Source organism: Homo sapiens, chromosome 2 (assembly GCF_000001405.40).
Source record: "Homo sapiens chromosome 2, GRCh38.p14 Primary Assembly".
In the NCBI taxonomy this organism is placed as follows: domain Eukaryota; kingdom Metazoa; phylum Chordata; class Mammalia; order Primates; family Hominidae; genus Homo; species Homo sapiens.
The window spans coordinates 136,562,196-136,579,396 of NC_000002.12; the positions used below are offsets into that span (position 1 = coordinate 136,562,196).

The 17,201-nt window shown below is 39.9% G+C and overlaps 1 long non-coding RNA gene across 1 annotated transcript in view; it reads right to left on the reverse strand.

Moving 5' to 3' along the window:
- LOC105373633 (uncharacterized) overlaps positions 1-13,709 on the reverse strand; it is a 31,074-nt gene extending 17,365 nt beyond the window's left edge. Inside the window, exon 1 of the long non-coding RNA XR_923360.3 lies at positions 13,509-13,709. This is a non-coding gene — a long non-coding RNA (uncharacterized LOC105373633). The remainder of the gene's footprint in view (positions 1-13,508) is intronic.
- Between the last annotated feature and the right edge of the window lie 3,492 nt (positions 13,710-17,201).

Below are 17,201 nucleotides of genomic sequence, written 5' to 3' on the forward strand. Positions count from 1 at the left end.
GTGAACTAAAAACATGTCCTGTTTTCAGGACATTAAATCTGATGTTCAGTATTGTAACCTCTATTCACCCAGCCCTCAGCCCTGAAATTTCCTGGTATGTGGCCCTGACACCAACATAGATTCTCAAACCAGTAACCTCTGAGTCTACCTTGGCTCCTCTCTCTCCCTTATTCTCCACATCCAGTCCATGACAGAGACCAATGGTTTCTGCGTCCTAAATATTGCTTGAATCTGTTTTCTTCTTCCCATCCACCTAGTGCAAGCTATTACTCTCTCTCCTGGTTTACTGCAAGAGCACTTCAGTGTCCTTGCTCCTGATCTTGCCCCCATTTGCCCCACAGTCCGTACTTTCCTGCCTTTTTTCTTGGCAGATGTAGTTATTTCTGCTGGAAACATTTTCTCATCCCCACCCCCCTTCAGTTAGCCAATTCATACTCCATTTAAAATTCAGCTTGGATTTAATTACCTCAGTGGAGTCTTTCCCGATCGCGTTGTCTACATTGGAATATCTTTCTTTAAGCCCTTATAAAATACTGCACTTTATAGTAGCACAAATCTCACTTCTAATTGATGGTTTTATGCTTGTTGGGTTATAGGCTCCCTGAGGGCAGGGATAGGGTCTGTCTCATTCACAAGACCTGAAATATATCAATTGCTCAGTAAATAGTTGTTGCACACAAGAGGAATCTTAGAAATGATTGATCATCCTTCTATAAATGTATTTTGCATGTGTAAGAGGCCAATTGACAAAGCAAAATGGACGGTGGAGGCATTATCTAGTCATAGTGATATGAAGGTAGTTCTGATCAATGCTAATTTGACTCCCTAACTGAAGTACAATTGGTCTCCAGATTTTTTTTTTAACTTAGGTGTGACATCTGCATCCTGGGTGAGTAAGTTTGATTTTAATTTGTCATCCTGTGCCAATTCTTTTGCGGTCATTTGTGTTCAGATGGAAATAGAAATGTAGTCATCTCCCATGCTGTGCTACTTTTTTTCTCTTTTTTCTTGTTTTCAGTATTTTTCAGAGCCTGTGTCTTCTCTATTTCTATGACCTTTCATACAAATACATACATGCTTTCAAGGATATTTTGTGGGATGGGAATGGGTTAGAGACATGCATCATGTATTATTTTGGTACTTAATCTTCTAAAAGCATGTCTTGGTAACATGTTGAAATTTATAACCACCCCAAGTCGGAGTTGCTCTCAGAAATATTGCTGAGTAGAAAGTTCTAAGTAAAAGATGAAAAAGTTGGCTGACATGCCACATGTTACAGTTATAGAATCACTCTTGGGGACTTGCTGTGGGCTGAATCTCAGCCCTTGTGTTTATGAAACTTTGCTGCCGTGAATGTGACGAGGTGAGAAACGGTGCTGCACTCGTGGGGTTTACTTCAGCAAGATGGACACTGTTTCATTACACAAAATATCATGGATTTTGGCATCTCCAGATTAGCACCAGTTCAACTTTCTAACCTGCTACTTGGCATTTTCAAGGAATTATTATTTTGGTTTGGTAGAAACTTTGGCATCATTCTTGCCAAAGGCAACATCTCCGTGGGTTTGTCATGAAAGGCACATGCAGCTTTTGCCTGTAGAAAGACAGATGGAGACTTCAAAGGTTGTGTGAAAACGGTGCTCATGATGTTCCTGGAAGACTTCAGTGTTTTCATTGATTAGCAGCAGGGGCGAGCAACATCATCAGCATGTCTGAATGTCTCAATAATGACTTTAGTTTACTCTTTTGAGTTTAGAATGATTTTGGGGAGAAATTCTTTAGCATATTTACAGTTTTAGTATTTGATTTGGGGAAATATTTTATGTTTTTATATTTGCTTTTTCTGGAAGTACCCTTTAAATTAAGACTTGCTGAATCAACCTTTAACAAACTGTCACACTTTTCAAAAACATTTTTAATATAAAGTACATTGGTTATCTGTATTTTTTCTTATATATCTAGTAAACTCTTAGTACTTTAAACATTGATTTTCCAGTTTATGGAGTTTCTAGTCTTCCTTCCTTCCTTCCTTCCTTGCTTCCTTCCTGTCTTGTGATTTGTTTGTTCCTCCTCAGAAGGAGGAATTTGACTACAGAATCCATCATTCTATCAACAAATGCTGATCACATGTTTGTGCCCAGTGCAGTCCCTGCTTAATGAAAACTTGCTGTTCTTCTTAGAAAGTGCTATCCATGAAAAAGTTGTGATCGATCCAAGGTGGTTTGTTATCAGGTTCTGATTTGGTGGTCTACACTATGTGAGAAGGGTAGGAGGTGGGTGAAACCTAGAAGGAAAAAGCATTAGGCTTTTCCTAATGCATAGGCTGAGGAGAGGTTGCATCTTAGTTGTAAAGACTTTGGAGGATGAAGAAGAGTTAGACATAAATAAGATAGAGAGGAGAGCATCATAGACCTTCAAGGGATCATTTTTTTTTCAGCTGGGATGTGCTATGAACAAACAGGAGAAGCGACTTTGGGAGACAGTGTGGACTGGATTACAAAGGGCTTTGATTGTTGGAAAATACCTGATATAAGAGGATTTTTGGCTTTGTATGGTAGGCAATGAGAAGGCATTGCTGATTTTGACCCAATCCCTGAAAATCAGCGGAATTAGCATGATATTTTTGTAAGAAGCTTTGGCTAAAGCCATGACAGAGAGAAAACTGAATGAAAGTTTAAAATTAAGTTTTGGGAGATTTATCAGTTAACTTTAAACAATGTTAATCCATCTAGTTTTCAGAGATGACAGAGAATTAGCTTCATGTCATTTTCCTCCTTTTTATCTTGCCCCTTTGTACGTTCATTGATAGGAGATTTGCATTTGAAAAGTTTTATTATACATTCCAGTAGGAAAATTGTACATTGTTGATAAATGTATCTTTTATAATCCTTGCTGTTATTGGAACGCTGCTAATTTTATTAACACTTTCTCAAAGGAAAAATAAAAGTGAAATAAATGCCTGTGCAACCCCTTCATTATCTTGTCTGCCCTTGCCTCACTTGCTTTGCTGAAATTCTAATGGGAGAAAAAGGGGGCTGCCCAGTAATTTTCTTTTCCTCTGACATTTCAGCCCTCCTCCAGTTCACTGCTGTAATGAAAATTGGCAGCTTTTGAGAAAAACAGTAACCATTTTGAGGAGAGCACCTGCTACATGGACCATAAACAGCACAAGAACCTCTCCAGCCCAAATATGATGCCATTCTTCAAATGTATTAGAGAAAACCCTGTTAGATTGTCAGAGGTCAGTCAGTCTAAGCACAGGAGGTGGGCTGAACATTCTGTCCCAAATGTCTTATCATCCATAATGGTGCTCACAATGATCAGAAGTTTTCAAATTAAGGGCAATAATGTCCCAAGGTCATTATCATTTCTCTTTGGACTTTTCAGCAAGAAGTTAGGGCACCAGGTGACCTAACAGAATTAACATCAAAGACTATTAGGTTTTCACTCAGTTTTTTTATTTCTTTTTATAGAATGTTCCATTCAGCAGTAGTTAAAACAACTTCAAATTGATTTGCCTTGAAGGATGAATAAAGTGTGACTTTATTGCCACAAGCATAGTATTTTAACTATACCAGTTCAATGTTGAAGTTTGAAGGCACAATCTTAGGTTCCTTTTTATTGCAGCAATGGGACATTTGCTCAGAATCTGATAGCAATTCTCCTTTGGGAATTTCTCTGAGACAGTCAATAAAACACATAAAATAATCATGCTGTTTTCTCTTAAACCTTACATGATTATCACCCAACAGTGTCACCTACAGTGTTTACCGGTTTTGCTCTGTGTGACTTCTGGCTGTCCCCTAAGTAAGCTCCGCTCTGAAAGCACAAGGCTCTGTCATTATTGAAGATAATCAAGAATGTACTCTAGGTGGGAATTGAACAATGAGAACATATGGACACAGGAAGGGGAACATCACACTCTGGGGACTGTTGTGGGGTGGGGGGAGGGGGGAGGGATAGCATTGGGAGATATACCTAATGCTAGATGACGAGTCAGTGGGTGCAGTGCACCAGCATGGCACATGTATACATATGTAACTAACCTGCACATTGTGCACATGTACCCTAAAACTTAAAGTATAATAATAAAAAAAATCCCTTAAGAAATTTTATTCCAATTGATTTAAATAAATGAGTGCTCATATAAAATAAAATAAAAAAAAGAATGTACTCAAGGCTAGAATGGAAATTTCAAAAGTGGGTCCCTAGGGGATTTTCATGAATGGTAACATCATTGGAACAGTGTCATATTTCAAGATGACAAATTTAAACAAGAAAATATGCAACTAAGTGTACATATTCTTGATATAGTAATCAACAGCATAGGATTTGGAGCCAGATAAACTGTGTTTAAATTCTGGTTCTGCTACCTTGGAGAAGTCATTAGCTATGAGAATTTCAGATTCTGCAGGGGGACAATGGGTATTGAAATATCTTTTTTGGGTTGGGCGCAGTGGCTTACGCCTGTAATTCCAGCACTTTGGGAGGCCAAGGTAGGTGAGTCACCTGATTTCAGGAGTTTGGGACCAGCCTGGCCAACATGGTGAAACCCTGTCTCTACTAAAAATACAGAAATTAGCTGGGCGTGGTGGCAGGTGCCTGTAATCCCAGCTACTTGGAAGGCTGAGGCAGGAGAATCGCTGGAAACCAGGAGGCGGAAGTTACAGTGAGCGTTGATTTACTTCCCATTCCCTAAAACTTTATGGCTTCCTCATCAAACGAGACAGGTTGCTTTCTATCTCTTAGACGGTAAATATGGTTAATGTGCTGAGCAGTGTTGCACCCACTCTCAGGCACTTTGTTAGGAACAAGAGTTATTTAGTGACTCTTCCTAAATAAGGATTAAGTTAACTGGAATTAAACTACATGACATCTATGTACATATATGCATAGCTGCATACCTATTTATATATTCATCCATCCATTCATCCCTGTCTCACATGGCAAGGGCCTGATAAATGGTAGTTATTGTTACTAATGCAAGAAGAGTCATTGTGATCCTTCCTGTTCTCTAAGATCTAAACTTCTTGGGTGGCTCCATTGGTTGCTCTTCTTTTTTCCTCCCTCTCCTCTTCTATCGTCTTATCCCTTCATAAGTCAGTCTTCTCACACTTGTCATCATTTCTCTCTATCTTTTTTTTTGGTCGATCTCTCATAAATCCCTTCTCTCATAAATGAAGACCTGGCCTGCTTCTCTAGCATGGAGACAGAATGAGGATGAGCAGTCTGTGGACTCCACTTGGGCTTTATCACTTTCATGCTGAGCTGGACATTTACTCAGTCTCCTTGGCAAACAGGGGCAAGTTTGAATATTCTCTGCCCGCTTTTGGTCTTCTATAGAGGGACTGCTCCTCTGAGGGGAGGTGTACAGCCTCCTTCTGCTCCCGTCCCAGCTTCTCTATCTCAAGCACTTTTCTTTCCACCAAGAATGAGGGAGAATACACCAATCCTGCTGAAATTAGACACTTTCTTCTATTTCTGGAGTTAATGAAATATTAAGACTGTGGTTGTCAACCTGGGTGTTTAGACATCCTAGAGAGAAAATCAGGATTTCTCTGAGGAAGGGACAGGTGGGTTGAAAAGCACATTCACTATTATAGTACTACTTTAAGACTAAGTCAAAACCAAATAAAACCAAACACTGATTTCTTAAATAAAACTGCAAAAAAAAAAAAAAAAAAAAAAGCCCTCGGAAGATAGACTTTATCTTTGGAGCAATATAGATTATCAGTAGGAGGGTTTAGTATTCAATTATTCTTTTTGTTTTTTGAGGAGGAACTGCATAGAGAATATTCACCAAACAGAGAATACATTTTTAAAAAGTACAAACACTGATGAGAAATACTGTTTATGGAGTTAGCAAAACAGTCGTCACAACCCAAGCAAGACAGCCTGACCTGGAGGCTCCTAGGAGACCCGTTTCTATTTAATGAGAAGCTGGTCTAAGAGAAACCAACTGAGATTCACATGCCCATTGTATTTGTTTGGGGCATTTTAATTTGATGTTTATCTGCCCATTACAGAAAATTCACATGAAGTCTCAATCATAATAAGCACCACTTTTTTACTTCAATAAGTAGAATTAACAATCCCTGTGTGAACTGGATATATGAAATTGATGATAACCTTCCTTGGGTTTTTCTATTATTTGCCCCAATGTTATTGGCTATTTCATCATACTTTAGGAAAAGTGGAACTGCTGGCCAAACTCATAACCGTAAAACCCTCTAGTTTCACTCAAGTGAATCTCCCAATATTGATACTTTGGATATTCAGCTTTGAATATTACATCTTACCTACATAATAACATATAATCAATTGTTTATTTTTATCAAAAGGCAGACAAGTATTTGGCACAGGCATAAATTCCAGAAAACACCAGCTTTTGATTGTAACTCTTCTGACTGACTTTGTATGCTGCCCTTTGCTTGAAATACCTTATGCGGAGTAAACATGAAGAAAGCATGGTGTAGTGGAAACAATGTTGAATGTAAATAAGCATGGGTTTGAACCTCAGCTCTGACACATAATAGCTGGGTGAACCTAGATGATATATTTAAATTTTTTGAGCTTCAGTTTCCTTATCTATTAAATACCTTCTCTACAGATTTGTTGTGAAGGTTGAAGACATGCTTGAAGAGCATCTAGCATTCCTGGTACAAAGCATGATTCAGAAGCTCATTTTTATTTTTATGCACATTGGCTGACTTCTCCAGCTTGAAGTTTAACTGAGTAATATATATACATTCTTACACTGATCCCCCTCTCACATGTCCTAAAACCTTTGCCCATTGATGTGCATAGTCATAACTCTTACCTGTGTTTACACACAAATTAGTTTTACACATTCATATAACTATATACAAATACCCACAAACCCACTCAATTTAAGGTTAGACTGATTCTGCTTTTAGCACCTACTAATAAGACGTGCATAAGGGGATGGGAGGTGGGTCACAGAGCTTGATGCCACTTTCTACTCAACCCATTGATGCTGATGCTGTGATGCCCAGGAAAGGGAAGCTGAGAGCTGATTGCAGGAGGAGCCTTTGGCCCTGTACTGGTGTCTGCTCCAGCAGATACAAATGCATTCTAACTGAATTCCAGCTTTTTGGAGTCTCTGACACTGCAGAAAGCCCTACCCTTTGGACCACAAAGTGGTTGGCATGATATAAAGACAGGGAGGCTGATCTGATGCCAGGCAGAGCTGGGCTGAGAGCTCTTGAACTTCATCAAGTTCTGCTGTGTGTTTTGCATATCTGTTAAATAGTGTGTAAGCTTGTTAGGGGTAGGACCCATGTCTCCTTGCCGTCCTATTTCCCTGGGAGTTCTTTTTACTCAGGGGAAACGTATTGACCAGAAGAGGAGGGAGGAGCTGTGGTCTTGTAAGATGGTCAGTTATTGATTGCCACCTGACTGTCAGGTGCTGGCTGTTTAGCTGATTAGCCATCTGGACTCCTCTTGCTGAGAAAGACATGTCCTTTTTCTGGGCCTTGGTGAGAAAAGCCCTTTCAAGGTCAGGTAGGAGAAGGGAGAAGAGGCAGATGCCAATTACAGTTGTCTTTGTTAATGACACAGGAGTAAGATTTGGTGAGGTGGCTGGTAAATCTAGCTTTGAAGGTTATGTATAAGAATTACCTAGCGATTATTTTCACAATGAAAAAACATCTATACTATTTTTTCTGATTCTGTAAATAATACATACTCATTTTAAAAATACTTGTACAATACCAAGAAGTATAAGGAGAAAAGGAGAAATCATCTGGAATGCCAACATTCTGGGATTACTCGCATTAACATTTGGTGATCTGTTCTTTCATACAACTTTTTATGCATGTGGATCTAGAAATATCTAATTTCATGTAAATTATAACTGTTTATCAGATTCATAGGCATAGTTTTTCTGTGTGTGTCATATTAAAAGTGGTGTATATGCACTGCTCTACATCTTGCTTTTCTCAGTTAACATTTTGGAAATTTCTTCATGTTAACCAGTATGGATCTAACTCATGGTTAACCTCAGCACTATAGGCTCTTTGGGTAGGATAATTCCTTCATTATTTTACAGTGCACAGGGGCTGTCCCTGGGGCCATCCTGTGTGTTGTCTACAGGGGCTGTTCTGTGCATTGTAAAATGTTTAGCAGTACCACTGCTGTCCTGTACTTCAGCAGTCCCCAACCTTTTTGGCACCAGGGACTGGTTTCGCGGAAGACAGTTTTTCCACAGATGTGGATGGGGGAGGGGATAGTTTCAGGATGAAACTATTTCACCTCAGATCACAGGGCATTAGATTCTCATAAGGAACATGCAACCTGGATCCCTCACATGCACAGTTCACAATAGGGTTCATGCTCCTATGAGAATCTAATGCTGCAGCTGATCTGACAGGAGGCATACCTCAGGTGGTTTAGCTCACCAGCTGCTCACCTGCTGTGTGGCCCAGCTGCTAACAGGCCATTGACCAGGCCACAGCCTGGGGGTTGAGAACCTCTGTTCTACTTATTAGCATACAGTCACACATCACCCCTGGTTGTGGCAACCAAAAATGTTTACAGACATTGCCAAATGTTCCTTGGGGGGACAAAAATTTTCCCTGTTTGAGAGCCACTGATCTGATTTTTTTTCAATAGCTGTATTACATTCCACAGTATGGATCTGCCACTTTTAATTCAATAGTTCCTTTCCTAGTGATCATGCAACTTACTCCCAGTATCTTTTTTTGCTGTCAAATTGATTATTTCAATGGGGGCTGCCCTTGGTCCATGGTTATCATTTAGGAAGATGAATGTTTTGCAAAGACAAAACTCAGGCTGTATCTTTCTAAATACAATACTGCTGTGATTGGGCTTCATTCACTTTATTCCTGGGTGAGCCCTCAGAATGACCACAGGCCAGTGAAACTGATGGCAGGGCCTGTGTAGCACTGGGGAGCCCTGTTCCATTTATCATGGGTTCAGGTAGGTGCTCTTCAGCCCCAAATGGTGGTGGCCAGGTAAGAATGTAGGACCTGTGTTAGCAAATAACTTAATTTTCAAGAGAAGCAGAAAATCCATATTTTTATGTAAAAAGTTCTCCCAACTTTTCACGGATGAAAATGAATTAATTCTTTAGGAAAACATGTGCAGATGAAACAAAACAGATCTCCTGCCCAAATCTGGCCCAACAGTGGCCAGTCTGCAATCTCTAGTGTAGATATTTATTATTGAATGTGATCTTCACTTTTCTAGGGTTCAGTTCTTTGAACTGTGAGATGCTTGTGTAACTTTTTGGTGGTGAACATTGTGCTTTGATGCACTTTGTCTATAGCAATGTTTGCCTCTCCTCCAAATCCCCATCCTCTCTGAGAGAGAGCTCGTGCTCCTATAGTCTGTATTGTCTCCATATCTGACACTGCTTACATAGCCTGGGTGTTGGGGGCTGCTGGCTTACATGTTCTCAGGAGAATCAGAGTCAGTACTGTGTGATGCCTCAGAGTCTTGGATCTTTGATCTTCAGGACTTTACAGTGCCTAAGGTAGCTCTGTGGGAGGAGGTGTTTACTGGAACTTGGTGGCTTTCAGCAGCATGGAAGTTATGTGCCTGTTTGGAATCTGCTGTTCATTTAGAGAGTTTGTTGCGAATTTATTACCTGGTTTCTTTCCAGGCAAAATGTTAGAACCAGAAGGGACATTGGAGATCTTTGAATCCTACTGTTTCACTTTGCAACTGGGGAAATTGAGGCTCAGGGAGAGGAAGGAACTTAGCCAAGTCTCCACAGTTGGTCCCAAGGCAGGGGCAGCACTTCCGGCCCCTTCCTCCCTTTCCAGCATGTCTATGCTACCACCTCTGAGTGGGTGGCTTGGGTAGAAATCTTCTTTTTCTGCTTTGGGTTTTCAGCTAATTTGTCTGGATATCCATGTTTCTATGACCTATTTTTGGGAGGGGACACTTATGTGCTATGCATTTATTTGAGTTTTTGCAGAGCTAATTACCTCCCCAAGTGTTTGAAGACAACAGCCTTATTCTTTTAAGGCAATGTTTTAAAGATAATAATTTTGTCCTGGGAATAGATTAGAGAAAGATTTTGTCCTCTAATCTAGCATGAAGACTAGGTTATATCAGATTTTCAGATGCTGCTTCCAATAAATTAAATTTGGAGCTGATGAAGATTTTGAAGACACAGAAACATGTGATAACTAGCGAGCTTTAAGTGGAATTGGATTGATGGGAAGCTTGTCCTTTCAGTAGGAAATGTGTTGTACCACAGTTTCTATGGACTCAATTCGCTGGCTCTCTGCACCCACAGCTGCCAACAGCTCTCAGCTGCTGGAGAAAGCAGTCTGAGAGGAATGCCATGTGTTGGAACAGGCATTTATCCCAGTGCCAACTCTGCTGCCAGGATGCTGTCAGCACAGCCTAAGAAATGCTTCAGGGACTGCCCACCAGCTTGACACCTGGGTTGGCCAAGGTCAAAACCCTCAGGAATTTGACTGCTTGTTGGAGACTGCAACAGCAGAAGTGATCCCACAAGAAGAGACATACTGCCCCAACAGAGGACAAAGTGCGTCCCACTAGGAGCCTCAAGACCTTGGAGTCCCCTAATCCCTTAACTTCTATGAGCCTCAGCCGTCTTTTCTGCAGCACAGGAACAAAAATAAATTGCCTTTTTGATCTCTTAGAGATAATATTAAGGTCAGTTTTGTAAACACCGTACCCGCGTATGTGCACATTTGTGTGTCTTATGGGTTGAATTGTGTCTCTCCAAAATTCACATGCTGAAGTCTTAATCCTTAGTACCTCCCCAGTGACCTTATTTGGAAATAGGGTCATTGCATATGCAATTGGTTAAGATTAGGTGATACTGGAGTAGGGTGGGCCGTAATCCAATATGACTGGTGTCCTTATAAAAAGGAGAAACGTGTACACACACACACACACACACACACACACACACACACACGGATAACATGGTGTGAAGATTGAAGGTATGCTGCCCAAGCCTAAGAACTACCAGAAGCTAGGAGCAAGACCTAAAGCAGAGCCTTCCCTATACCTTCAGAGGGAGCATGGCCCTGCTGGCACCTTGGTCATCTAGCCTGCAGAACTATGAGACAGTAAATTTCTGTTGTCTTAGCAAACTAACACAGTATAAAATATAGTGTATAAATATAGACATACATTCACATGTAAAAATATTTAAGTGTCAGTAGCAACCTCAACCAACATCTTGGGCCAGTACAACTCTGGTCATGGTAGAGTGTAACGTTAATTGAGTCACAATAGCAGGCTGGGCTGATGATGAAGCTTAGGTACGTGGATGTGCAGACTAAATAGTAAGATCCCTGAGAGCAGAGACTGTATAGATAGTACTGTCCTTGACATTTTATCCTGAGCATGCAGCACAACAACTAGCTCATGGGTGGTCTTATTTGTTGAGTGGATTAAAGGTTACGATCATTGCAATTATTATTACTCCAAAAAGAAGGCCTGAACACATTAAGCAGTCACTCCTCATTCCCTCCAGGCCCTGTCAACAGTGAATGTATTTTCTTTCTCTGTGGACTTGCCTATTCTGGACATTTTATATAAATAGGATCATATAATATGTGGCCTTTTGTAGCTTGCTTCTTTCAATTATCATAGTGTTTTCAAGATTTATCCAACTGTATTGTGAGCAAGTGATTCATTCTGTTTTTAGTGCTGAGTAATATTCTGTTTTATGGATAAAGCACATTTTATTTATCCATTCATCAGTTCATGAACATTTGGGTTGTTCCCAATTTGTGGTTATTTATAAGTAATGCTACTATGAACATTCATGTACAAGTTTTTTGTGAATATTTATGTACAAGTATCCTCTTGGGTATATGCCTAGGAGTAGAATTGCTGGATAACTCTGTGTTTAATTTTTTGAAGAAGTGCTAAACAATTTTCCACAGTGTGTGCACCATTTTACATTCTCACCAGCAACGCAGAAGGGCTCAAACTTCATTTTCTCCACTTCTCTGCCCACATTTGTTATTTTCTGTTTTTATTTATTTATTTTTTAAATAGCTGTCCTAGAGGATCTGAAGTATCTACTTGTGGTTTTGTTGTGCATTTCCTAAAGGATTAGTGATATTAAGCAGCTTTTCATGTGCTTATTGGCCATTTGAATATCTTCTTTGAAGGAATGTCTATTTAAATCCTTTGCCCATTTTTGAATTGTTTTTAGTTGCAGGAGTTCTTATATATTCTGGATCTTAATCTCTTATCAGATATATGATTTGCAAACATTTTCTCCCATTCCGTGGGTTTTTAAACTTTTTTGACAATGTCTTTTGATGCACAAAATTTCTTAATTTTTACAAAGTCGAATTTATCTAGTTTTTTTGTTTGCTTATGCTTTTTGTGACATATTTCAGAAACTATTGCTTAATCTAATATCACGTAGACTTACATCTCTCTTTTCTTCTAAGAGTTTTATAATTTTAGCTCTTATATTTAGGTCTTTGATTTATTTTGAGTTAATTTCTGTATGTAATGTGAGGTAGGTGCCCAAATCCATTTTTTTTTTTTGCATGTGGCTATTTTTTCCTGCACCATTTATTGGAAGACTATTCTTTCTCCATTGAACAGTCTTGTCCTTCTTGTCAAAAATCAGTTGACCATAGACATGTTAGTTTATTTCTGAACTCTCTCATATACATATATACATATGTGTGTGTATTCCATATATATTGTGTGTGTATTCCATATATACACACACATATGTATATGTATGAGAGAGTTCAGAGATATATGCACACACACATAGGTACAAATGTATATATGCTTATGCCAGCATCACATTATTTTGATCGGTATAGCCTTGTAGTAAGTTTTGAAATCAGGAAGTTTGTATCCCCCAGCTTTGTCCTTTTTTTCAATATTGTTTTGGCCAATGAGGCTTTCTTAACCATCAGGGATAGCTAGGATTTAGTCAAGCATCTGAGTTTGGCAAATTGATTGCAAGATAACTGTCCCCACTCCCCAACATACCCCTTCCCAGAATTGAAGACATCTCTGCCCGTGATAATAGCTCTAACCTAAAAGAGAATCTGGCCATACCAGAACAATGGAGATGTTGGTGATTGAAGTAGCTAGTCACTTTCAGTGTTTTCCTTGGCTTTGTGTCACATTGAAATTCAAATATGTATCATCTCACTTTATTCTTCAAACATGTACCTGAAGCAGGTAGGGCAAATGTGCTTATGCCCATTGTATAGGTGGGGAAAGTGAGTGCCAGACTCCAAGACTTGTTCAGATTACAAAGCTAATTCATAGCATAACAACTACTAGACATCTCTCGGCACTGTATACTTTTTAGTTTTGAAAAATATGTTTTAAAAATAATTACATGAATTGTACATGTTAATTATTATATAAGTAATTATTGCAGATAAGAAGAAACAAAAGAAAACAAGAGAAGATATTTTAGTCTGTTTTTTGTTGCTTTAACAGAATACCTGAAACTGGGTAATTTATAAAGAAAAGGAATTTCTTACGGTTATGGAGGCTGAGAAGTCAGAGTCAAAGGGCCATATCTGGTGAAGGCTTTCCTGCTGGTGGGGACCCTGCAGAGTACTGAGGTGGCCCATGTGAGGGGGCTGTGTGTGCTAGCTCAGGTCTCTCTTCTTATAAGGCCACTGGTCCCATTCCAATGATAAGCCATTCAGCTATCTACCAATTTATCCATGAATGGATTGACCCATTTATGAGGTCAGAACCCCCATAACCCAATCTCCTCTTAAAGGCCCCACCTCAATACTGCCACAATGGGGATCAAGTTTCAACATGAGATTAGAGGGGACAAATATTCAAATCACAGCAGAAGGAGAAGGAGGCGTGGAAGCAGAAGCAGCAACAGAAGGCAAAGAAGAAAGAGAAGGGTTACTCATGATCCCATTACTCAGAGAAGAGCCACAGACTGTGGGATTACCCACTGGACCATGAGCAGGGGTGTGTCAGTAAATGTTTAGCAACTGGCTCTCCAGAAAAGTCATGTCCTAATGTGACACCAATTTCTATTGTGTAAATACTTTCACCATGGCTGATTCCAAGCTACCAACCTGGCAACAGTGAATGTAGATTTGGGAGATGACATAGTTGGCTGTCAGGAGCCAGTGCCAGCACACCACTGAAGGGGATCCTAGTTTCTTGCTGCTCAAAGTAGAGTCCATGGACCATCAACATTGCCATCACTTGAAAGCTTCTTAGAAATCCAGACTCTCAGGCTCTACCCTGGCTTATGGAATTAGAATCTGCATTTGAACAAGCTCCTCAGATGATTCCTATGCATATTAAAGCTTGAGCAGAACTGCATGTCCAATACAGTAGTTGTTAGCTACATGCATCTGTTGCATATAATACATAGCAAATTTTGAATACTTAGCATGAAAAAAAAAGGTAAAATATCTAAAAGATTTTTTTTGTATTGACTACATGTTAATAAATATGGTAATATACAGCATAAAAATGTTATTAAAATTAGTTTACCTACTTTTTACTTTTTAAAAATGTGGCTACTAGAAAACTTAAAACCGCTATGTGGTACACATTCTATTTCTGCTAGAGAGCATGACGCTAGAGCATGGGATCCCTAGAACTCTGATTGCTTTGTGTGTCCCCAGGCCCACCTTATTCTAAACCCCAACTTAAGTTGACCTGAGCATTTCTAATAAGGTAATTAGTTGCCCATGACCATACTTTTAGGAAGGGCAAAAACCACATCCCTCTTCTTTTTACTACTGCTCGTGTGCCCCACTGTGAACTCAGAAGATATTAATAAGCTAAAATGAATAATTACCTCTCTACCATTGAAGTCCTTGAGAATATTCAACTTCCAGAGTGAAGGAGGATTCTGGAAATGAGGAACACCCTGCATGCCTCTTCCTTCAACTGTTGTTATCCAGGAGGACCCCCAGGCAATGGTGTATTGGGCTGAGCATTATTTCTAGGGCTCTCAATGATATCTCAGGGACTCATCTCTGCGACAAAGGAAGAGTCACTAAATAACTCTTGTTCCTAATAAAGCGCCCGAGAGTGGGTGCAACACTGCTCAGCACATTAACCATATTTACCATCTAAGAGATAGAAAGCAACCTGTCTCTTTTGATGAGGAAGCCATAAAGTTTTAGGGAATGGGAAGTAAATCAAGGCTTCCGTTTGCCTTGTAAAAATGCACTGCCTTGTGCTGCATCTCACCCTTCACTCACACGAGTGTATTTTTATTCCTCTGCATAAATAAAGCATGATTTGTAGCCACCCTCTTGACTTGCTCCTGGCACCAGGTTCAACAACCAAAAAATTAAAGATGGCATTGCGTTTCTGATGAGGCCTGAGCATTAGTATGAAATACCTAAAATACTTGTAAGATGAAAACAGCTGTAAGCTGGGAAGGGGCAAAAAAAAAAAAAAAAAAAAGAAAAAAAAAGATAAATCTTCCTCCTCAGTCCCTGTGACAGTGCATGCAAAATGCCTGATGCAGTTCTAGGTACAAAATAAGACCACAAAACAGTTTGCTTCACCTTTTCTTTCCAGGTGTTAGCACCAAGAGCACTATGAAGATAAGAATAGATAAATAAGTGAGCATTCAGATTCAGTGAAAACAACCAGCTTTTAAAATTGTTTCACAAGATCAGCGGCAAGTGCTAAACTGTGTGCTACAGTCATATGAATCTGTGGATATTTGGAGACGTGACATTTTGTTGGTTGATTTTCGTTGCCATTTTCTTCTTTTTGACCCAGAGTATTTCAGGCAAAAGCTGCTTTGTTGGCTACTAAGTCTGATAGCTCCTTTTTGCTTTTCCTGAACTTTAATTTTAGAGCTGATGTGGAGAGAAAATTGAGGACCACATATCTTATAGAGATTGTGGAGGGGGTCCCATGGTGGGAAGGTCCCGAGGGGTAGATGTCTGGATCGAACAGACCGATGAAGTTGGACTGAGGCTTGGGGACAGAGGATAAATAAGAGAACTATGGAAAGTGTATTGAAAGTTGCGAACTTTGAGCTGCAGAAAAGTGTTCAAAATGGATTATCCCATCCTGCAGCCCTTGAATGAAATATTGGGGGCTGAGATGTGGTATCTATGGGTGTCTGGTAATTGGGGAAGGAAGACAGAGGAAAGCTGTGCTGGTGAATTCGACTCAGCAGGCCCACTCTTCTAGGAGGGCTTGTGCATCTCTAGTGTATGTTTTCCCAGTCAGCTTTTAAAGCACCTGGGATATGTTTGGTAGAGAATGTTTTCTGTCTAGTTTACCTGACTTATTTATTTATTTTTACTTTTAGGTTTTATCTAAAGAGTAACATTCTCTTTAGGGCATGTTCCCTTTTATAGATCTTAAAATATAAATTTTCTGTTAACAGAATTTGAAGAAGGCATTATCTTCATGTCAGAATTTTATATAAAGCTTCAACGTTGAGAATAGCAGGGAATAAATAACATCATATTCTAAAAAGGACAGTGGACATGGTCCACAACACATGAAGACAACGTGGAAAACTACAGAGACTCTAGCACCTCCTCCACCAGCCTATATTTAAAAAAAAAAGCCTTGGGATTGGAAAGAATGTGAGCTGTGGGTTGTAGATCTAGGGGAGATTTTGCCCTCTATTATCCTGAGGTATTTTCTTCCAAGCCAGTTGAGAGCATTGTTTGTGGAGATTGGTGGGTGCCTGCAATAAGGGAAGATTAGTCCCTTCCTCCCCTTTGAGCTGGTGTCTGTGGAGCAGCAGAATCCATGTCTCTGCTTGGACCCACATTTGGAGCAGAGTAGGGTATGATGAGAAAGGCTTCTGCCTCTTCACATCTGTCTTGGGAGTTTGGGGGCATGTGAGAACCAAACCATGTCTCCTGATTACCTGGAGAACCCTGAAGTCTAGAAGTGGCCTGGAGTAGCCTGAAGGCAAGATGAGAAGAGAGGGCAGTCATGGGGCAGCCTGCACACTGCATTTGACTCAGCAGGGATGATTGAGTTTTCTGTGGGCCAAGTGCTTATTGCAGAAAGCACTGAATTAGTTCTTCTTACTGTACCCTGCCAGACTATGGGACCAGGATAACATATTATGGACATGCCGTCTGGGATAGGAATGAGTGCTAGAGGGAGGTATTTTAGAGGTCAGCCAGAGTGTATCACCATGTGAAGGAACAGTTAAGGGGCTCTCCAAGAACTTACTCCTGCAACCCACAAGAAAGCTA